The 22653-nt window shown below is 38.7% G+C and overlaps 1 protein-coding gene across 14 annotated transcripts in view, besides 2 other annotated features; it reads right to left on the bottom strand.

The window, feature by feature from the left end:
* The window catches only part of FBXO34 (F-box protein 34), a 171629-nt gene that overhangs the window by 106660 nt on the left and 42316 nt on the right, over window positions 1-22653 (bottom strand). The window lies entirely within an intron of this gene.
* Window positions 7698-8199: an enhancer, noted in NCBI's record as "NANOG hESC enhancer chr14:55794909-55795410 (GRCh37/hg19 assembly coordinates)". NCBI's record gives its function as "activates a minimal SCP1, AML or CMV promoter by ChIP-STARR-seq in naive H9 embryonic stem cells {active_cell/tissue: H9 hESC(naive)}" and the evidence as "EXISTENCE:reporter gene assay evidence [ECO:0000049][PMID:30033119]".
* Window positions 9009-9148: an enhancer, noted in NCBI's record as "active region_8431". NCBI's record gives its function as "activates an Ori minimal core promoter by ATAC-STARR-seq in GM12878 lymphoblastoid cells {active_cell/tissue: GM12878}" and the evidence as "EXISTENCE:reporter gene assay evidence [ECO:0000049][PMID:35858748]".

Raw genomic sequence — 22653 nt, 5'->3', positions numbered from 1 at the left:
GTCCCTCCCAACTGAGCCCCAGGCTGTCTGATGCAGTTGCTCCTTCCTGGTTCAAACAACGGGCACCAACATAAGTTCTTGCCCTATTCTACACCCATTACTGAAAACTGAACAGGAAATAAATCAGAAAGCAATTTTTAAAAGATAAAAAGAAAAGGAGACAAACACATGGGAAGTATAACAATAAAAAAGAACTGAAAGACAACAGCAGTCAAGACCAATCAATCCAATTCCTAATTAAATACATATAATTTTCAGTCCCTCATTCTGTAATCTAAATGAGCAGTTTAATTAGTACCTGAATCTGCCTTGTATAAGTGCACTTAACTTTCATACTTTAAAGACATATATATATAAACATTTAAATAAATGCATAGGAAATTTTACCATTCAAAGGTATCTCATTGGAAATCCTTTTATAACAAAAATAGTCACCTCCTACATTCAGTCATGTAGGAAGGGAAAATGACAGTACTAATTTTAAAATATTAATAGTGATGTAGCCATTAATATTTTTTGAACAGTTGGCATGTAGTTATACATTGCTCTAAAGAGCTTCATTATGTATATATGGATATAAATTTCATCTTCAGGACAATTCTATGAGCTAGATATAATAATTATTCCCATTTCATAAACATGGAAACTGATTGATTAAAAGTATAATAAGCATTTTTAAATGATCAATTATACAAATGGCAGTTCATCTTATATACTAAGTACTGGGTCATTTTTTAAAATGTGCTTTATAGAGGAATTTTAAACAAAGCCAAATGCACACTCATGTAACAAACAGTCAAATAGTCAAATGAGTTGCCTAAAAGTCACCAAATTGGTTGTACAGAGGTTCCTACATACACTATACTTATTATTGTATTTTATACACCCTCTAATCCCAGTGGTTCTTCATTATCTAAAAAGAAATATAAGTCACAGATCAAAGTCAGAAGTTTGTTTTAACAGAAATGTTTCCCATTGCCCAGGAAATGGCTGAAGATAACTGAACATACACAGACTCAAGATGAACAAAAAGCCAAAGGAAAGCATTACCTACCATCAACTCCTTAAGGGCAGGATCCCAGGTATGACATTTTTATAACCCCCCTACCCCCAGGATCAAGCACAGAAGACTTTTCACATAAGAGGCACTTTTCCATAAAAAGTAAACACCACAAACTACAACTGCATTCTAGTCCCCTACATCTTCAATCTGATCTCCAAATAAAGGAGGAAATAATGCTAAGGAACTCCTTTGACTAAAAGCACCTGCCCTTCACCTGAACTCCTTTGACTTGAAAACACCTGCCCTTCACCTGCCCTCCACTCAATCCACTGCAATGGGTCAACTTAACTTGCTGGGTGGGAAACCCAGTTTGAAAAGGCAAGCCATCCCACTCTGGGGACCATTTCATAAACCCTATTCCCCAAATCCCACTATACCTCCCACAAGGAAGAGTTTGTTCTACCACAAAACTACCTTATTTCTCTAGAAGTCTGACCATCTTGTCACCAATGGATGAAAACTCAGCGCAGCAGTGGTCAATCTTTTTTGGATGCTGGACCCTTCCGAACATGTGAGAAAAGGTCTAAGTTCTCTGCCACCCAAAAATACCAAAGCACATACATAAGTGATTTTGGTAGGATTTTGGGGAAAGCTCCAGGGCTCCTGATGAAGAGCTTCCGCCTGAGTTCCTCTAACTTGCCCTTCATGTTCACAGTGGCCTGATCCTGTCAATTTTACTTTTCCTCTCTGCTTTGTGAGCATCTTTATCATGCTTTACCCACTGCAACTACTGAAACCACTTCTCCAACTGGCTCCTCGTTGCCCAGATCACATCTACTGCCCCACCCCCACCCCATCAATATTACCCAATGGCTACTAACTACATGCCTCCGTTGAATTCCCAGAACTGTGCCTTCCCAGTTTCTACCCTGGGACACTTCCCAGGTTCTACCCTGTCTTCAAGATAGAAGTAATCTTATTCTTTTCTGTGTCCATCACAGGGCACACAGCACAGTGCCCTGTACATGTAAGTACTCATTAGAGTGAATGTGCATCAAACCCTAAGGACTTAAACCAGCCAGTCAGCAAGCATCTCATAACTGGAAGTTTATGAGTCTGACTAATCAACCCTTGAGCAGCCCATGAACTTAATGCAATTAAGCAGCTCCACCTGATTAGCGCCCTGCTTTCTCTGAGATGAGCGGTGGAAAAGGTGGAGAAAAAGAGGCCACTCTTCATCTTGGTTACTGTTCTGCAAAGCACAACAGGCTCTGGCTTGTGTAGCAGCTTTTTTCCAGCACTCTATTTACTAAAACATTCCTATGTAATCAGATTTTAAGGAAAATTCTACTCAGCAGCCATGTGTAAACAAACACTTCCACAATAAAGTTATTTAACTTAATACTATCAGTTTAACTAGAATAAAAACAACTTTCATGTTGTTAATAACCTCCAGGACGGAACAATCTAGACACGCAGGCATTCAGCTATGAGTTAGGTGACCTCCCTCTCATTTTCAAAGCACCAAACCACATCCTTTAAATACTAAAATATACAGACACTAAGTCCCAACAAGAAACACTATAAAGTCTCCCCATGAGTCTTTACTACATTAAACACAGCTGTCTAATAGGGTCATGTTTACATAGATTTAAAAAAAAAAAGCCACCCCAGCATTAGCACTAACAAAATTCCTGATAAAAAAGACTCCTACACACCCAAACTAGAAAGGAACAGGACACCAACAAGCTTAAAAATACTTCTATCTTTAAGGTTTATGTTATAAAAACATAATTAAACTATATCCTGTTAAGTTTACATTTTGGTTATTTCTGTGTAACAGTTTTTATATATTTTTAAGAGCCACAAGGTTTTATTAATTACTTCAATAGGAAACTCACTTCCCTGGTTCTAGATTGTCAAGTATGCACAGTTCACACCCAGAACCATTAGGTACTTCAATTATTAACAAACCAAACCACAAAGGAGAATCTGATACCCAAGATCAGATTTTAGTGCTGGGTTATTAGATGGTAAAACTAGAGCACAGCAAACAGCAAAACCAAGAGGGTCGAAGTAAAGGGGAATGTGGTAATAGTCAGAAATTATACAAAACTCCCTCAACAAAAATTTCTGAGAGTAAGCTTATTCTCACTTTCCTGTTACCAATCTTAGAGACAACTAATAGTACAAATAAAGAACAGTAATCATTCCAGCAGTAACCACAGACTGCTGGGATTTGTGTCTTGTGGGTCCAGCTTTTTCCTTCTCCCTCAAAGCAGGAGGCAAGGTCACCTTGTAGCTAACAATAGCCCACTAGAAAGAGAAAACACGCACATCTTCCCTAAACATAACAGCACCTGAGCTGGAAGGAATGTTTTAAATCGACAAAGTATTTTCACAAACATCTCATTTGGCCCTCTTTCTGTTCCCAAATTCACCTGCATCTTGGGGCTAATGCGCCAGCTGATCAATCCTTCTCCCCAGTCTCTGTCCGCTAGTGGCTCTCATGTCACCACAAACAGTGCCTCGTACCCCTCAGTATCTCCATACCTCACAACCTGCAACCACTGCACAGAAAAGATAAAAGTTTAGAAAGTGAAACTTGCTGAAGATCACCGTAGCTACAGAAGTAGCCATTACATCAAAAGTCAACATTTTCTGATAAACTAAAAGTTCAAAACATACCACATTTTAAGTTATAAAAAAATCTAAATAATGAGGTACACCAAGTTCTCCCTATGAAAACATTTGACAATATGTCCATACTAACACTCAGTCCCATCATGTATTATACTTCCCTCCTAGTTTTAGAAAGCAAAGTAAAAGACAATCTGAGAAAGAGCTTTTTATCCAAAAACACTTCTACAATAATCAACAAATAATTAAACATTACCCAGATGCAAAACAGAAGTTAATCTGCATTACCTGGGATCTTATGAAGAGGTGATAGCTCCAGACCTCGGTTCACACTTAGGCAGACCTTTTAAAAATCAGTTCATTTTTACATAACGACACTTTGAAGGACAGTAACATTTGCCATAATTATTGCTACTATGTATGGAATGTATAGGTGAGAAAAATGCCCAAGGATAATCAAAAAGGATGTACTTTAGAGCTCGTGCATTTACTAACGATTTAACACCTACTATGCTCCAATGTGCTAGCAAACCTGATTTAATGAATGAAAATGAAAGCCAGAAGATGTGTGATCAAAGATTCCAGTTGCAGTTCAAGTGGAGAAAAGTAGTGAGAATGAGTTATATATTAAATTTATATATATATTTAAATATATATATATATTTATACATACCACCACGGTGGTATATATATATATATTTTTATATATACCACCACGGTGGTATATATATATTTTTATATATACACCACGGTGGTGTATATATATATTTTTATATATACACCACGGTGGTGTATATATATATTTTTATATATACACCACGGTGGTGTATATATATATTTTTATATATACACCATGGTGGTGTATATATATATTTTTATATATACACCCCGGTGGTGTATATATATATTTTTATATATACACCCCGGTGGTGTATATATATATATATTTATATATACACCATGGTGGTATATATATATATATATACATATATATATATATACACACATATATATATACATATATATATACATATATATATACATATATATATATATATACACATATATATATATACACACACCATGTTGGTATATATATATTTTTATATATTTTATATATATTTTTATATATTTTATATTTTTTTATATATATACACACACACCATGTTGGTATGTGTGTGTGTGTATATATATATATCACGCCTCAATTTAGTTTTCCAAACTCTAACCAAATTAATATCAAAATAATATTGAGGTGTTATGTATTTATTTGCTCTTTATAGCTGCATATATATTTGTAACATAGAAATTAGAAAATTACATCTATACTGAAGAACCTCAATACATTTCTTCTTTTGGATATAATTCATACCTTACTCAAATTTACAAACTACTACTCCAGAACAGAAATTATTCAGTGCAGGAGAGGATGAGAGTGGCATAGGAAAAGCCATTAATATATTTTTACCAGAGAAATTCAATAAAAACCACAAAGAAGGGAGAAATTTCTAGCCAGTCTCCTCCAAATATGCAACACTGGAATTGTGCTCAAATTGAAACTACCTAGTGGGGCCTAAAGAGATCAGGGTATTATAATAGAAGCCCAATCTGTAACCTTGGTGAATTTTCTTCTGTTTCACAAGTCTAAAAAAAATTTCCTGTCTCTAATTTGAATGTTCAAGCAATCATTTCTCCTATTCAAATCCCACAGTTTGGGAGCTAAATTATCAAACAGATCTTTTATTCACTCACTCAATATATACTGAGCATCTGCTATGTACCAAGCACTCTTTCAGAGACTGGGGATACAGAAGTGAACAAAGCACAAAATCTCCATCCATAGAAAAGGTTATGTTCTAGCTGAGAGACAGATTAATAAGGTACACAGTATATAAAAGGCTATGGAGAAAAAAGGGAGCAAGGTATGTGTGTGCCATACACAAATTACTGATTGATTGAACCAGGGTCTCACTCTGTTGCCCAGGCCGAGTGCAGTGGCGTGATCACTGCTCACTGCAGCCTCGAACTCCCAGCCTCAAGCCATCCTCCCACCACAGCCTCCCAAGTAGCTGGGACCACAAGCATATACCACCACTCCCAGCTAATTTTTTTTTACTTTAATTTTTTTTGTAGAGATGTCTCACTATGTTACCCAGGCTGGTCTTGAACTCCTGGGCTCAAGCAATCCTCCCACCTCCGCCTCCCAGAGTGCTAGGATTACAGGTGTGAATCACCACAAATGACTTAGTCATAAGATTTCGGAAAGCTATTTTACAGTCATGCAGATCATAGAACAAAAAGTTTTGAAAAATAAAACCCACAAAAAGAATATAGTATGAGTGCACCCATTTATATGACAAATCCAGAATGGGATGAGAACATCAGGGTAACAGAGAGAAACAAAACGGCACAAAAAGAAAGATCTTTTTGAAACTGAATCTGATCCTGGTGTGTGCTCAAACCATTCCTAAAACAGATTTGAAACAAATTTAGAAGAACACTTACGGAGACAAAAAAAACTTAAAAGGGAAAGTATGTGGAAAGAACACCCACCAATCAGGTTAAAATGTCAGATTTTTAAGTCGCTGTTTGTTAGCAATTAAGTGTAGTATTTCCCAAGTTTACAAAACTAAAACTAAATTTGGATGGAAGAGAAAAGTGACATCATGGCTATCTGATGCCACTGAACTCTAAATTCCTTGCACACTTACAGAAACGCACAAATCTAAAACTACAGATAAATGCCCTCCACAGGTCCTCATTTGGGAAGACAGAAAAGGAGGAAGAGGAACACCAGTAGTAGAGAAACAAAAAAACAGGCCAGTCAAGCAGTTTAAAAATATATATATATATTTTATCTTAATGTAAAAACGCTAGTCAAAAAGGTAAAGAAAACACCACTGAAAGCTGATAGTTTTCCTGGCACGGAATTAGGAAAAGAGGAATAGTAAGGCTTAAAGAGGCTAAGAGAAAATATTCAATATGCTAGTCAAATTTAATCAGAGAAATCAAATTACTGTGAAATTTTCTTTCTGGTCTTAAAAAAAAGGACTTCAAGCCAAAATGCTGTTTTTAAAAAATAGGTCCACAGATATTTTAATCCTATTCCACCATTTCTACCCAATTCCTGCAAATCTCAGAAACAAACTCAGATGACTCCTCAAAAATACTACTGAATAGAAAGTTAAACCTTTAGAAAAGGAGTGATTCAAGTGTCAAGAAACATAAAACCTGGTGAAACATCCTTTAAGATTACTGAATTGGTTTATTACACACTTTCTTCAGGTGAAACAATTGAATGCATTTTTAACTTTCTAAGTGTTCATATTCTAAGCCTGAACTAGTTTCCTTGACTGTTCTAAAGCTTTCTAGATGATTTACTGCAGTATGTTCCTTCTAAAGATGTCTGATCTCATCCATTACCAACTAATTCTCCCCAATTTTCTCAGTCATCTCAAAGTTAACTAGTACACATCTTAAGGAGAGGAGTCTACGACACATTCATTCCTGCAACAAACATTCTATAAAATTAAATTGAAACAATTTTAAGACTGGGACAATATATGAGAAAAGAACTCAGCTGCATGAATTTTAGAAATAAACCACGTTTTAAAGACATTTTTCACAAATCTCCCTCAGCCCTTTCCTGGGCCTTTAGGCTACTCCACTCTCTAGGAACTTCTCATTAAGTACAATCATTCTGCAACAGGATTGATTGATACACGGGGGGGACAATTTGAGTAAAATGGGAACTGTTTGCTAATGTACTATACTTTCTGTGAAGAATACTAGGTACACATACACAAAGGCATACAGCTGGACCCAGCCCCATGGGAATACAAAATGCACACATGCTTACATCTTAAACATCATTTTGAAAACACAGGCATCAAACACACACCCTATCATACTGTTTTCCTGGAAAATTTAAAATATCCTGTGAGTTCACTGCAATACCCCAGGGCACCTCAAACAGTTTAGGAATGAATACCCCGACTGGATCTCACAGCTCTAAACATTACCTACGTGTTTCTCCAAGTGGCTAACCCAAACCTCTCTCCAGGACTACAAGTTTGTATACAGTAGTTTATCCTTATCCATGGTTTTGGTTACCCAAGGTCAACCATGGTCCAAAAATAGTAAATGGAAAATTCCAGAAACAATTAAGTTATCAATTGCACCCCATTTGTAGAAGTGTGATGAAATCTCTGCTCCATCCCATGCAGGATGAGAATCATTCCTTTGTCCAGGGCATCCACGCTGTCTAGGCTTCCCAATGTGTTAGTCACTCAGTAGCTCAGTAGCTATCTCTAGGGATCAGCTCTATTGTTACGGTGCTTGTGTTAAGGTAACCCTTATTTTACTTAATAATGGCCCTAAAGCGCAAGAGTAGTGATGCTGGCCAATTCACATATGCCAAAGAGAAGCCTTATAGTGTTTCCTTCAAGTGAAAAGATCAAAGTTCTCGACTTTATAAACAAAAAACATCGGCCAGGTATGGTGGCTCATGCCTTAATCCCAGCACTTTGGAATGCTGGGGCAGGTGGATCACTTGAGGTCAGGAGTTCGAGACCAGCCTGGCCAACATGGCAAAACCCCATCTCTACTAAAAATACAAAAAAATTAGCCGATCATGGTGGGACACACCTGTAATCCCAGCTACTCTACTCGGGAGGCTGAGGCACGAGGCAGAACTTGGGAGGCGGAGGCAGGAGAACTGCTTGAACCCAGGAGGCGGAGGCTCCAGTGAGCTGAGACCACCACCACACTCCAGCCTGGGTGATGGAGTGGGAGTCTGTCTCCAAAAAAAAAAAAAAAAAAAAAAAAAAAAAAAAAAACCAACAACAACAAAGAAAATCATATGACGAGGTTGCTAAGATCTGTGGTAAGGATGAATCTTCTGTCCATAAAATTGCGAATGAAAAAAGATTTCGTGCACAATATATATAGGGTTTGGCACTACCCAAGGTTTCAGGAATCCACCGGAGGCCATGGAACGTATCCTCCAAGGATAAGAGGGGCTACTGTCTATTCGAAATCTCCACTTGGATGTCAAGCACCTTAAACTCAACATGTCCAAAGTAAAAATCCTGATTCCCTATGCACTTTCCAGTACTACTCTCCAAAATCTTTCCTATTTTAGTAAACAGCAACATTTTTTTCCCAATAGCTAATGCTATTGGAAAATGACTCCATTTTCCTCTCACAAACCACATATGCAAATCCTGTTGGCTCTATCTTCAAAATATATTCAGAATAAACTACAACTCACCACCTCCACTGCTACTACCCTGTTTTAAGTCACCACCATTTCTCACCTGCACTTTGCTTCTACTCTCAAACTCCGCAGGCAGAGTGATCTTATAAAAGGGGAAGTTCCATCATCTCATTTTCTGTACCACACCCTTCAATGGTTTCTAAGATGCCCCCTCTCTTTCTCATGTTCTACTCAAATCTCTCCCTTTTGCTTACTCTGCTCCAATGAGACATCTTGCTGCTTCTGGAACACACAAAGCACAATCCCACCTCAGAGCCTTTACATGTTGTGGTTCCCTCTGCTCCTTCCCCAGATATTTACCCGTGTCACTCTTTTGCATCCTGCAGGCTTTTGCTCAATGTCATCTTAGAGAGGCACTCCCTGACTGTCCTCATATAGTACTATTCCCCACACTCCCTATTCCCCTTTTTCCTTGCTATACATTCTCTGCAGCACTTTTTTCCCCCTTTCTGACATGTGTCCATGGTACATCTCTCTCCACTAGATCATCTGTTCTGAGACAACAGACTTAGTTTTGTTCACTGCCATATTTAACAGGCCCAAAATAATAACGTTATACACACTCAAATACAGAATAAAAATTATACCAGCTGTTTTAGGAAGTAAAATTATACCAACTGTTTTGTCCTCATTAACATCAAAACATCCCTAAAGTTTGTATTATTGAGAGTTTTCTATCCTGCATTTGAAATTCTCTCCTTCTCCTAAAAATAAAATGTAATGCTCTTTTTGATCATCGTATCCATAAACAAGAGATCTGACTAATCCAAAACGAATTATACTTTGATTTTCCTGGACTCTTAAATTCTATTCATAAGCTAAGAAACTAGATTGCCCTCTATTACGAGCTACTGGGAAATTTATTTCTTACGCTCTCTAAAAATCATTTTTGGACAGCAAGTCTCACATCTTGATCTATGATTTTTTCCTCCTCACCAAACCTGCTCCTCCAGACTTTAGCTTCAAACACAACTGCTAAGGAAAATCTCTAAGATGTAGGCCCCAAACAACCTTGTCCCACAGCAAGACCTAAGAAAAGGCACTTCAAAATCTAACACAACATATTTAGACCAAAGATTACCTGCAGCCCTCACCTAGGCAACTCGGCCGAAGTCTAAAAAAGCACATTTTACTTCTGCCTCATTTAATTATCTAGTCCCCCAGATCTTCCCTACTAGTTGTCTTTAATGTGAATGGGGAGAAAGGGGAGGAGACAGAGGGAGGGAAATGGACCTTAATAGGAAGCTGTGTGATTATCTTCAGAAATAAAGACTGGATTTGTTTCAGAGCTTTGTAATATGACAGAACCTCAACTCGGGGGATTTTACTTCCTCTACAAACTATCTCAGCTGTGCTTTGTGTATGCTAAGGATGTTTAGAAACACCTTGAATAGGCCATGCTGTCAAGTGTACAAAAAAGGTATTTGGATTGTTTTAGATCCTGAAACCAATGGACCAGAATCCTGCCCCACTTCAAGAATGAGTTGGCTCCTTGTTACCACGGTAATAAGCGCCCCATGAATGGGGATAATTTGCCACTTTGCTGAAAATTCAAGCATTCTATAGTTTTGGTTTTTTAACTGAGAAACGAGGTGGGAGGAGCAGCAGAACCAATTATAGAGTACATTTAAACAACACGTAAAGGAGTGTGTTTCTTGATTCTGAATAACAAGATTTTAAATCGTTTAGTTTACAGCCAGGCATGGTGGCTCACGCCTGTAATCCCAGCACTCTGGGAGGCCGAGGTGGGCGGCTCACCTGAGGTCGGGAGTTCAAGACCAGCCTGACCAACATGGAGAAACCCCATCTCTACTAAAAATACAAAATTAGCCGGGCGTGGTGGCACATGCCTGTAATCCCAGTTACTCAGGAGGCTGAGGCAGAAGAATTGCTTGAACCCAGGAGGCGGAGGTTGCGATGAGCCGAGATCGCGCCATTGCACTCCAGCCTGGGCAACAAGAGTGAAACTCCATCTCAAAAAAAAAATAATTTAGTTTACAAGAAAAAAGAAGGGAATAAGAGGACCAAAGAAAATAAACATGTTAGACTGTATTCTAACATGTACAGCTCTACACCATCACAACTTAGCACTGCAGATCTTTCAGAACAGATTTTCAGATTGCCCATAAACACACAAATCACATTAAAATATTTATAAGTCTAGAAGGTTCCTATGCAACAGTCTGGTTGGGAAGAAAAATCCACTAAAGTAACTAAGAACCAACTAAGGCAAATAGTACTGTGCAAGCCCAATGCTGCTAAAATATAACAGATTAAAGAAGCCATATGTCAACAAATTCTTATAGGGAAATAATAATATTCAGCACTATTAATAGACTGAATGTTCATTCCCCCACACCCAGGACACAATTCATATGTTGAAACTTAATCTGCAATGTGAAGGTATTTGGAGGTGGGGCCTGTGGGAGACAACTGGGTCATAAGGATGGAGCCTTTGTGAATAGGATTAGTGCCCTTATGAGACCCAGAGAGCTCACTCGTCCTTTCGGAGATGATCATCTAAGTGCCAGGATGCAGGCCCTCATCAGACTCCAAATCTGCTGCTGCCTTGATCTGAGACTTCTCAGACTCCAGACTGTTCAAATAAATTTCTGTTGTATATAAACCACCCAGTGTATGGTGTTCTATAATAGCAGCCCAAACAGACTAAGACAAGCACTTATTCCTGATAAAAATTCTTAGCAAACTAGGGATAGAGGAAAACTTCTTTTCCTTTAATAAAAGGCACCCATCAGAAACAGAAAATAGCATACACACAATGGCAAAATATTAAAAACAGTCCTATACAGAGCTAGAAATAAAGATGCCAGCTATCATATTACTGAGAAAAAAAAATCTATCATTACTTGCAAACTACATGTTATGTGGGGCTTTCAAGTTAAACCAACAAATTAAAAATTATTTAGTCTAGTCTAACAGTAACCTCAATAAACTTAAGAGATAAAACATCAACATTAAAAAAAAAAAACTTAAAGAACTGCCACACGACCCAGCAATTCCACTGCTAGGTATATACCCAAAAGATCTCAAACCAATAATTATATACAAATGTTTATAGCAGCACTACTCAGAATAGATAAAAGGTGGTGACAACCCTTCTGTCTACCAAGAGATAAATGGGTAAACAAACTGTGGTACAAGTATACAATGGAATATTAATTCAGCCATCAAAAGGAATTAAGTACTGATATCCACTACAACATGGATAAACCTTGAAGACATCATGCTAAGTGAAAGAAGCCAGAAACAAAAGGCACATACTATATGATTCTATTTGTATGAAGTGTCCAGAAGAAGCAATTCTATAGACAGAAAGTACAACAGTTGTTGCCTAGGGCAACCACTGGGGGGGAGGAGGGAATGCAGGGTAACTGCTAATGGGTATGGAGTTACCCATTTTGTCACCCATGGGGGTGACAAAAATGTTCTATAATTAAACAGTGGTGATAAGTGCACAACTTTGTGAATACACTAAACACCAGTGAACTGTACACTTTCAAAGGGTGAATTTTGTGGTATGTGATTAATATCTAAATTTTTAAATAAATCAGTAACATCAGCAGTGGGAAAAATTTAACAACTCCCAAAATGGGCTATAGTAATCAAGACAGTATGGCAGCAGTACAGAAATAAGTGGTTCAATAAACTGAACCTCAAATGATTAAGAAGACATCAAGTAAATGGGAAATGCAAGATGTTTGAATAAATTGAGAAAACTGGATCTCTGAGTGAAAAGATACAGGCCTACATCATAAACAAAAATTTTTGGCCAAGCGCCATGGCTCACACCTTTAATCCCAGCACTTTGGAAGGCTGAGGCAGGCGGATCATGACGTCAGGAGATTGAGACCATCCTGGCCAACATAGTGAAACTCCGTCTCTACTAAAAATGCAAAAATTAGCTGGACGTGGTGGCACGTGCCTGTAATCCCAGCTACTCGGGAGGCTGAGGCAGGAGAATCACTTGAATCACAGACTCGAAGACCGCAGTGAGCCAAGATCACACTATAGCACTCAAGCCTGGGGACAGAGCGAGATTACATCTCAAAAAAATAAAAAATAAATAAATTTAAAGGGGGGCCAGGTCAGGGGGTGGCTCACGCATATAATCCCAGTACTTTGGGAGGCCAAAAAGGAAAGATCAGTTGAGGCCAGGAGCTTGAGACTAGCTTGGGCAACATAAGTGAGACTCTGTCTCTAAAAAAAAAAAAAAAAAAAAAAATATATATTTTTTTTTTTTTTTTTTTTTTTTTTTTTTTTTTTGAGACAGAGTCTCACTCTGTCGCCCAGGCTGGAGTGCAGTGGTGTGATCTCAGGTCACTGCAAGCTCTGCCTCCCGGGTTCACGCCATTCTCCTGCCTCAGCCTCCCGACTAGCTGGGACTACAGGCACCCACCATCATGCCCGTTTTTGCTTTTTTTTTTTTTTTTGTATTTTTAGTAGAGATGGGGTTTCACCGTGTTAGCCGGGATGGTCTCGATCTCCTGACCTCGTGATCCGCCCACCTCAGCCTCCCAAAGTGCTGGGATTACAGGCGTGAGCCACCGTGCCCGGCCAAAAAAATAATTTTAGTAAAAAAATTTTTAATGGCACACTGAGTAAAATGTAAAATCCAACACTGTCAAATATGGTAGAATGCTTTATAATCTTAGTTGGGTAACTCCTCCTTCCTAAAGATATAAATTACTGACATATCTAAATATAAACGTTAAACTTTTATTTGGAAAAAAGACACCATAAAGTTAAAACACAAGCAAAAGAATGGGACAATAATATTTGCAATATGCACAAAAGGTTAATTTCCATGACACTGGCCAGGCATGGTGGCTCATGCCTGTAGTCCCAGCATTTTGGGAAGCCCAGGTGAGAGGATCACTTGAGCCCAGGAATTCCAGACCAGCCTAGGGAACAGAGCGAGACCCCGTCTCATCAAAAATATATAAATTGTTTTTTAAAATTTTCCATGACATTAAATCAGTTACTGAAGCCAATGGTGGGGGAGGAGAGAGACAATACTTTAGCATAATGCTGCTATTGGTGTAAAAACTGAAAAGACTATATGTAGTTTGCAAATACACAGAAAGATGTCTTTTTTTGTTGTTGTTGTTGCTTGTTTGTATTTTTTTTTTTTTTTTTTTGAGACAGAGTCTTGCTCTGTTGCCCAGGCTGGAGTGCAGTGGCGTGATCTCGGCTCACTGCAAGCTCCGCCTCCCGGGTTCACGCCATTCTCTTGCCTCAGCCTCCTAAGTAGCTGGGACTACAGGCGCCCGCCACCACGCCCAGCTAATTTTTTCTTTTTTTAGTAGAGACGAGGTTTCACCGTGGTCTCGATCTCCTGACCTCGTGATCCGCTCGCCTCAGCCTCCCAAAGTGCTGGGATTACAGGCGTGAGCCACCACGCCCAGCTGAAAGATGTCTTATATAATAACTGGCAAACTGGATATTTGCGGAGGCAAGTTAGAGATTTTTTTGCAGCTATTTCAATGTGGTTTGAATTTCTGATCACAAATACATGTTAAATTGTATAATTTCAAAAACAATTTTAAACGGAAAAGCATCTGAAAGGCAAAACTGTAGGGATCTGAGGTCCACTAAAGATGAGTATTTTTGACAGATCCCTGCGGCAGCTTTACAGAGAATGGACATAAGAGGCAAATAGGTATTGATTCACTTTCTCCATTCGACAGATGAAAACCTACTGTGCCTTGGTACTGAGCTAAGCACTGGGACCAGTCAGAAACACTGCAAGCTGGCTGGATGCAGTGGCTCACGCCTGTAATCCCAACACTTTGGGAGGCTGAGGCGGGCAGATCATTTGATGTCAGCAGTTTGAAACCAGCCTGGCCAACATGGTGAAATCCCATCTCTACAAAAAATATGAAACTTAGCCGGGGGTGGTGGCATTTGGCTGTAATCCCAGCTACTCAGGAGGCTGAGGTGGGAGGATCACTGGAACCCAGGAGGTAGAGGTTGCAGTGAGCTGAAATCCCTCCAGCCTGAGCAACAGAGGGAGACCCTGTCTCCAAAAAAAAAAAAAGAAACATTGCAAGTTGTCTCAGTAAAAGGTCATATGTAACTACTTTGGGCAACAATGCAAGGGAGCCAGGGAATAGAAGGCATCTGTTCTTTGCAGGTGGGGGGTGTGGGATGTGTAAAGCACGTGCCATTTTAAGGCATTTGTGGACAATATCCTTCTGATATTCCTTATATTACAAGATGGCCAAATATTCCTGATAAGTATCATCTATTTTTTGACAAGTCACTGAATTAAAAAAAAAAAAAACCGCCCATATCAGCCTTGCTTTTACAAGTAACTCTTATTTTTAAGATTCTTTGACTTTGGAAAGTCCACATTCTAAAAAGTCTCTGAATGAAGGAATTCCAAAGCTACCCTTGGTCATTTTCTCTGTGTCCACTGTTTATTTTTTGGTTTTCTCAAAAGATGAATAAAAAAGAAAACTATAACAAAATTAATATTTAACCCAAAGGAAAAATATTTTAGTGAACCAGAGGTATTTTTAATTATGATTTAATCCACATTGGTTTCTTTTTACAGCTGACATGTTCCCATTTTATAACAGCCATCTGCTATCTCAACAGTATCCCAGATTTAACAAAAGTTTTAACAAAGACTATGACTATACATTAAAATTATTCAACTTTCTCACCTTAAAACTTTATATATATATTTTAGACGGAGTCTTGCTCTGTCACACAGGCTGGAGTGCAGTGGCAGATCTCGACTTACCGCAAGCTCCACCTCCCGGGTTCACACCATTCTCCTGCCTCAGCCTCCCGGGTAGCTGGGACTACAGGCGCCCACTACCACACCCGGCTAATTTTTGTGTGTGTGTATTTTTAGTAGAGACGGGGTTTCACCGTGTTAACCAGGATGGTCTCGATCTCCTGACCTCGTGATCTGCCCGCCTCAGCCTCCCAAAGTGCTGGGATTACAGGCGTGAGCCACCACACCTGGCCAAAACTTATTTTTTTAAAAGCACCCAGTATTAGCAAAGAGACAGGAAAAAAGAATCTGCTGATATGTTTGGCAAAAAATTCACCCTACCATTTAGCTTTGGGCAGCTAACCACTTTCCCATCTAGGCTGAGAAAGGAGCTTGTCTTGTCTGAGGCTGCTGGTCAAAGCACACAATCACCGTCGCCTTGACAAAGTCAACCGCCTGAGCAAGTTTATCATAAACCTATCATAATTCTCCCCAAACCATGCCAATGAGTTCCCTCCTTGCTGGTAGATTTCCTCTTTCAAATGCACGCTTCAGGCAATGCCAAGGTAGATGCAGGTCTGCTTTGAGAAAAGATTATGGCAAGCATGGCAGTTAAAGGACCTGGATAACCTGAGGCGGTCCAATTGCATACATTTTTTTTTTCACTTAAGGTGATTTGTTAAATATGCCTTTCAAGGTGATTTAACAGTTGTACCCTTAAAGGAGTTTCCTATGAAAGTTCAGGAAAAATTGGCCAGGTGTGGTGGCTCATGCCTGTAATCCTAGCACTTTAGGAGGCTGAGGTGGGTAGATCACAAGGTCAGATCAAGACCATCCTGGCTAACACGGTGAAACCCCGTCTCTACTAAAAATACAAAAAATTAGCTGGGCGTGGTGGCGGGCACCCATAGTCCCAGCTACTTGGGAGGCTGAGGCAGGAGAATGGCGTAAACCCGGGAGGCAGAGCTTGCAGTGAGCCGAGATTGCGCCACTGCACTCCAGCCTGGCGACAGAGCCAGACTCCATCTAAAAAAAGAAAGTTCAGGAAAAATAAATCCTTTCACACACTATATAGAATGTTGGTCCTGTGCATACAATCACATGAAAAAACCTGGACTAATTCTCCTGCCACCCATTCAGGGAAAGAGAATCCCAGGGTTATCACCAAAAATTACAAAGGATTAAAAACAAAACAGCCATTAACCCATACAGAGTCATCATATAAACTGAAAACAACTCAAACACAAACCATAGTGAGGGAAGAAGGACAGAATGGAAAGAAGAAGAACAAAAAGTTGTTGCCAGAAGTCCTTTCTATATAAATGCTTAATAAAATTTGGCAACTGGATATTTCTGTATACTGGATTTTTAAAAATAATTACCATCTTCACAACTTTGAAAGAGAAGGTTCACCTAAAAATCGATCACATGTACACTGTATGATAGGTACAGTGTCAAAAGAAACTTGAACAGGTATTTATTTCTTTTAGATACAGCTGTCATTGTCTTGAACCACAAAAATCTTCTTTTAAAAAAAGTGTAAATATGTGCATTCCTCAATAAAGGAATCCAGGAGTTTCTTAAGTGCCTAACAGACCCACATTCCCCCTTCTTAATCCATAGGAATAATAGGCAAATTTTCCTACTTAAATTTCCACCTTCATATCCTATGACCCTTCTACACTGGCCATCAACAACAAAACCATCAACAAATAGACAAAGGAGAACTTAGTGGACTGTGAGATGACCTAGTGTGAAATTAAGCACAATGAGAGTCTAACCAACTCAATAACATGAAATCCCATGGAGACAGTCACAAGACTGGAAGACTCAATCTTCCAGTCTTGGATAACAGAGCAATAAATGCCTACTTGAGAGCGAGTGAGATGACCAGGTCACCAGATCCAGCTACTGATGGGCAACTGGAATTGCTGAAGAATTAGAGACAATGGAATACTAATTGTTCCAATTCTCAAGACCAAACAATATGACCTGAAACTATTTTGTGTGTTTTCTTATCTCCTCATACATCCATATAAAAAATATAAAAAACTGATAAAGCCCAGTACAGTAGCTCAGCCTTATAATCCCAAAACTTTGTGAGGACAAGGCAAGAGGATCACTTGAGGCCAGGAGTTTGAGACCAGCCCTGGGTAACATAGCAAGACCCTGTCTCTAAAAATAAAAACAAAAACAAAAAAAAAATACAAGTCATGTAGTTGAACAACCACATATAGATGGTTACTTCTTTAAGGAAATGAAAAATACCCCAGAATCAGTAAAAAAAAAAAAAAAAAAAAGTTACTGACTGCATATATATATATATATATATATATATATATATATATATATATATATATATATATATATATATATATATATATATATATGACTTGCAAACCAACAGGGGATTGGCTATGCCTATTTAGAACTTAAATTGTTTAAGTTATTTACCTATTTTTATAAAGAATTATGTCCCAGACTTCTGGTTAAGGATGGTAGACTAAACACATAGCTCTTTGTTGATCCTTCCCCAAAGACCTAGGGAAATGTAAAGACATAAACTCACAGGTCAAAAAGAACTGGAGATTATAGCCATAAACTTTAAAAGCTGAAAAATAAATGAGTAAGAGTTAAAGAACTCAGATAACCCCCAATAAAGCCAAACCCTAAGGTAAGCATCAGGGAACATTCTCTTACAAAACGTTCAGAAATTAAAAGTAGAAGATAAAACAGGAGGGATTAATAGAAAATGTTTCTGAAATGCAATCCAATTCCCATATTCCCTTTCTTACTCTTAGGCAGGCAGGCAAATACCTACCCTTGCACAAGGCTGAAGATAATCTTTGCAGAGGGTTAAAACAGAGGATTATCTGGACCAGGGATCACGATGTAAGGTGGGACAGTTTAAGTGAACATGTGCATGCCAGATCCCACTCCATGGTGGGTTGGTAAATGTTTACCAGCTGGCTAAAGGAAGGGGTAATGGGGAGAATGAGGGCAGTTGTTTGTAGTATTTGCTGATTCTGCGGTATAAATATCTTACCATGGCAGCTTCAAGCTACTAAATGATGTCACTGAACACAGTTCAGAAGAGATGCACAGTATATATTACTATACAGTATTTCACCATATAAACAGAATAGGAGAGCATCCATAATAACAAAATGTAACAAAACAATTAGAAAGTGATGAGTTTTTAGTATTTATTACCGTTTTTTGGTTTTTGTTTTTGTTTTTTTTGAGACAGGGTCTCACTCTGTCACCCAGGCTGGAGTGCAGTGGCACAATCTCGGGTCACTGCAACCTCTGCCTTCCCGGGCTCAAGGGCTTCTCCCACCTCAGCCTCTCAAGTAGCTGGGACCACAGGCATGCACGACCTCGCCTGGCTAATTTTTACATTTACCTTGGCTTTTTATATAACTTATTTAACTACAAATTTGTATAATTTTAAATAATTGTTACATTTAGCAACTGGCTTGCAAAATTTCTGAAAATTTAACAATTGGCTCTGATAAGCTAGTATGAACCAGCTCTAACACACCACTGACCCGAGCCCACTCTACCCCTTCCCAAAAGGCTGACACAGTAAGGCCTTGACTTCCAGGGAGGGGAAACTGGAAGAGACTTCTGTGGGAAATCTGATCAGCCATTATTCTAAAAGGAGAAACACAGAGATACTGAAAAATTCCCCAGTCTAAATTTGCCAGCCAGATCATCCCCCAGTGAAGCTTAGTTGATAAGCCGTACTTGCATATTCAGAGCTTCTAATCAGTTTTTTTAGAATCTCACTATTGAATATGAGCAAACAGCTAGACATCTCTAGCATAAAAGATAGAGATAAAAACAAGAAAAACAAGTTGGAAAAAAGAGAGCAGGATCAACTTTATAGGCGTGTGACTTGGCCAGTCATGCAGAGCCGTGGACTTTGAGTCTGAAAATCGGTTTAATGCTCTGCTGTTGCCGTCTTGAAATTCTTTTATGGCTTTTTTTTTTTTTGAGATGTTCCTGCTCTGTTGCCCAGGCTGTAGTGCAGTGGCATGATCTCAGCTCAATGCACTGCAACCACCCAGGTTCAAGTGATCCTCCCACCTCAGCCACCTGAGTAGGTGGGACTATAGACATGTGCCACTGTGCTAGGCTTTTTTTTTTTTTTTTTGGTAGAGACAGGGTTTTGCCATGTTGCCCAGGCTGGTCTCAAACTCCTGAGCTCAAGGGATTCACCCACCTCTACCTCCCAAAGTGCTGGGATTACAGGTGTGAACCACTACACCCAGCTAATTTTTTTTTTTTTATTTTTGTAGAGACAGGGTTTCACCATTTTGCCCAGTCTGGTCTCGAACTCCTGAGCTCAAGCAATAGACCTACCTTGGCCTCCCAAAGTGCTGGGATTACAGGTGTGAGCCACTGCACCCAGCCTGTAGTGGAATTGTTTAACAAATGCTGAACAAGGGACTCTACATGTTCATCCTGTACTCAGCCCTGCAAATTATGTAGTCAATTCCTGATAGAGACTATGCAGGCAGAAGAAACCTCTGGAGAAAAAGAAATCATTATTATTTTCAGAAATATAAGAGAAAATATTCAAATAAGAAGAGCAGTATGCTACCAAAAAAAAAGAAGACTAAAAGGTGATACAGGGCAAGCACAAGCATGCTTTCTCAGTAGAAATGAAAAGCTCAAAAAAATACAAAGAAATGAAAAACGCAATAGAAAAGGAGAAAAACATTGGAAGACCAGTCCAAAATGTTCAATATTTGAATAACAAGGTTCAAGAGAAAACTAAGGAAGAAAAAAGGAGGGGAGAAAGTCATCAACAAAATAATGCAAAAGTAGTTGCCAGATTGCAGGGGTTCATAATTACTCACAATGATGGAAAGGATTCCTCAAGTACTCAGCATCAAGTACCTCACCACATTAAGGCACATTATTGTGAAATGTCTAATGCTGAGGGACAAAGAAAAGAACTGATAACATGAAAAATCAGGAATCAGAATGGCTTAGGTCTTCAGGAGCAATGCAGGAAGCATAGAAGAAACTAGAAAACAATGGAACTTCCCTTTAAAATTCCAAAGGAAAATTTCAAGCTAAATTTTATACCCAACCATACAATCGATTAAGAGTAAGAACAGAGTAAGACATTTTCAGCCTATTAGGATCTCAAAGTTTAACTTACATAAACCCTTTCACAGGCAGCTACTTGGAGAACCTGTTCTGCCAAGATGAAAGACTAAACCAAGAAAGAAGACATGAAATCTAAAAAACAGGTAATCCAATACAAAGAGGTAATGAATATCTCTAAGGTGCTGGTAAAGGGAAGTCCCAGGATAACAGGTATACATAAAACCAGTAGGCAACCAGTCCAGATGGGAACACATCTTCAGGAATATGAAGATAATAGAATACTTGAAGTGTCTGACTTTCCTGAAAGTAAATAAGGACAAGTTACAATTTGAAATAAATTAGTGAGAAGTTAACAGAAAAGTAAACAATAAAGAAAAACATAAATTTCATGGAAAACCAAAAGTAATAAAGTAAAAGTAGTCACAATTACTACATGGCTTAACTGTGAATCTTAACATGCACTTTCAGTCTTAATGTGTCAACACTGAATACTAGAATACTAGTCTAAGCAATGTTATAAATACCTATACCAGGGAAATGGGGGGACAAAAACATTCCTGGGGATGAGAAAAAAGAACTAAATCCTCAAGTGCCACAATGGAAATCAAAAGATACCTGAAGCTGAGAAATCAAGAAATCAGAATACAAGAATGCTGTTAAGAACATGGAGGTAAATGCAAAAATAATAAGCTAAAAGCAAGCCTCCAAGAGGGAGAAGTGGGGGGATGAAGTGGGAGAAAGACTGACACTTTTCAAAACAAGTCTTAAACAGCTATCAACTAAACTATGTACATTTAATACTTCAATGAAAAACACAATATAAAAGGATAAGAATAGTGATAAAAGTTCAAAATGTTTTAGTTCTTTTTTCAGATTAAATTTTTCCAACAAGGTTTTTTTCTTTCATTTGTTGTATTCTCCAATTTTTCTACAACAAAAATTTATTGCTGTATAATCAAAATTTAATATTATCATCTATCATTTTATACATACCTGTTACTACTGTCTGATATTCAAAATCATCTGTAACTCCCTTATTTTCAGCTGTTCCTATGTCATAATGATACCCAATCCATTCCCAGGGAACAGACTCAAGGGGAGACAAAACATTTATGTGATACCCAATCTAGCACACCTCAGGAAGATAGCAGCTTCCCTTCTGGGAGGTAGCTCAGTAGTTTACACCAAGGTGTGTATTTGGTTAACTATCTCACATTAGGTTTCCCCCTGCAAGGCTACAGTCTGTCAAAGCACTGTTAAGACCGTTTCCACTTAAGTTGTGAGAAACTGATAAACACAATAAACTCTAGAATGTGCCCTAAGGTGGTAACAAAATCCATTTTTTTTTCATATCTTTATTATTCCCAACACTAAATTACAGGTTTTCAGGGCTGGGCATTGTGGCTCATGCCTGTAATCCCAACACTTTGGGAGGCCTAACTGGAAGGATCACTTGAGCCTAGGAGTTCCAGACCACCCTGGGCAAAAAAGGGAGACCTCAGCTCTCAAAAAAATTAAAATAAAAAATAAAATTGCCAGGGATGGTGGCATGCCTGTGGTCTTAGCTGCCTGTGAGGCTGAGTTAGGAGGATCACTTTGAGCCAGGAAGGTTGAGGCTGCAGTAAGTTGTGATCATGCCACTGCACTCCAGCCTGCATGCCAGAGCAAGACCCTGTCTCACACACACACAGTTTCTAGTATATGTGATATGGTTAGGCTTTGTGTCCCCAGCCAAATCTCATCTTGAATTATAATCCCCATAATCTCCGCATGTCAAGGGAGGGAGCAGATGGAGGTAAATGAATCATGGTGGGGGTGGTTTCCCCCATGCTGTTCTCATGACAGTGAGGTCAGTTCTCACGA

Source organism: Homo sapiens, chromosome 14 (assembly GCF_000001405.40).
Source record: "Homo sapiens chromosome 14, GRCh38.p14 Primary Assembly".
Lineage (NCBI taxonomy): Eukaryota > Metazoa > Chordata > Mammalia > Primates > Hominidae > Homo > Homo sapiens.
The sequence above is the reverse complement of the archived record's forward strand: the minus strand, read 5'-3'. Positions and strand labels throughout refer to the sequence as shown.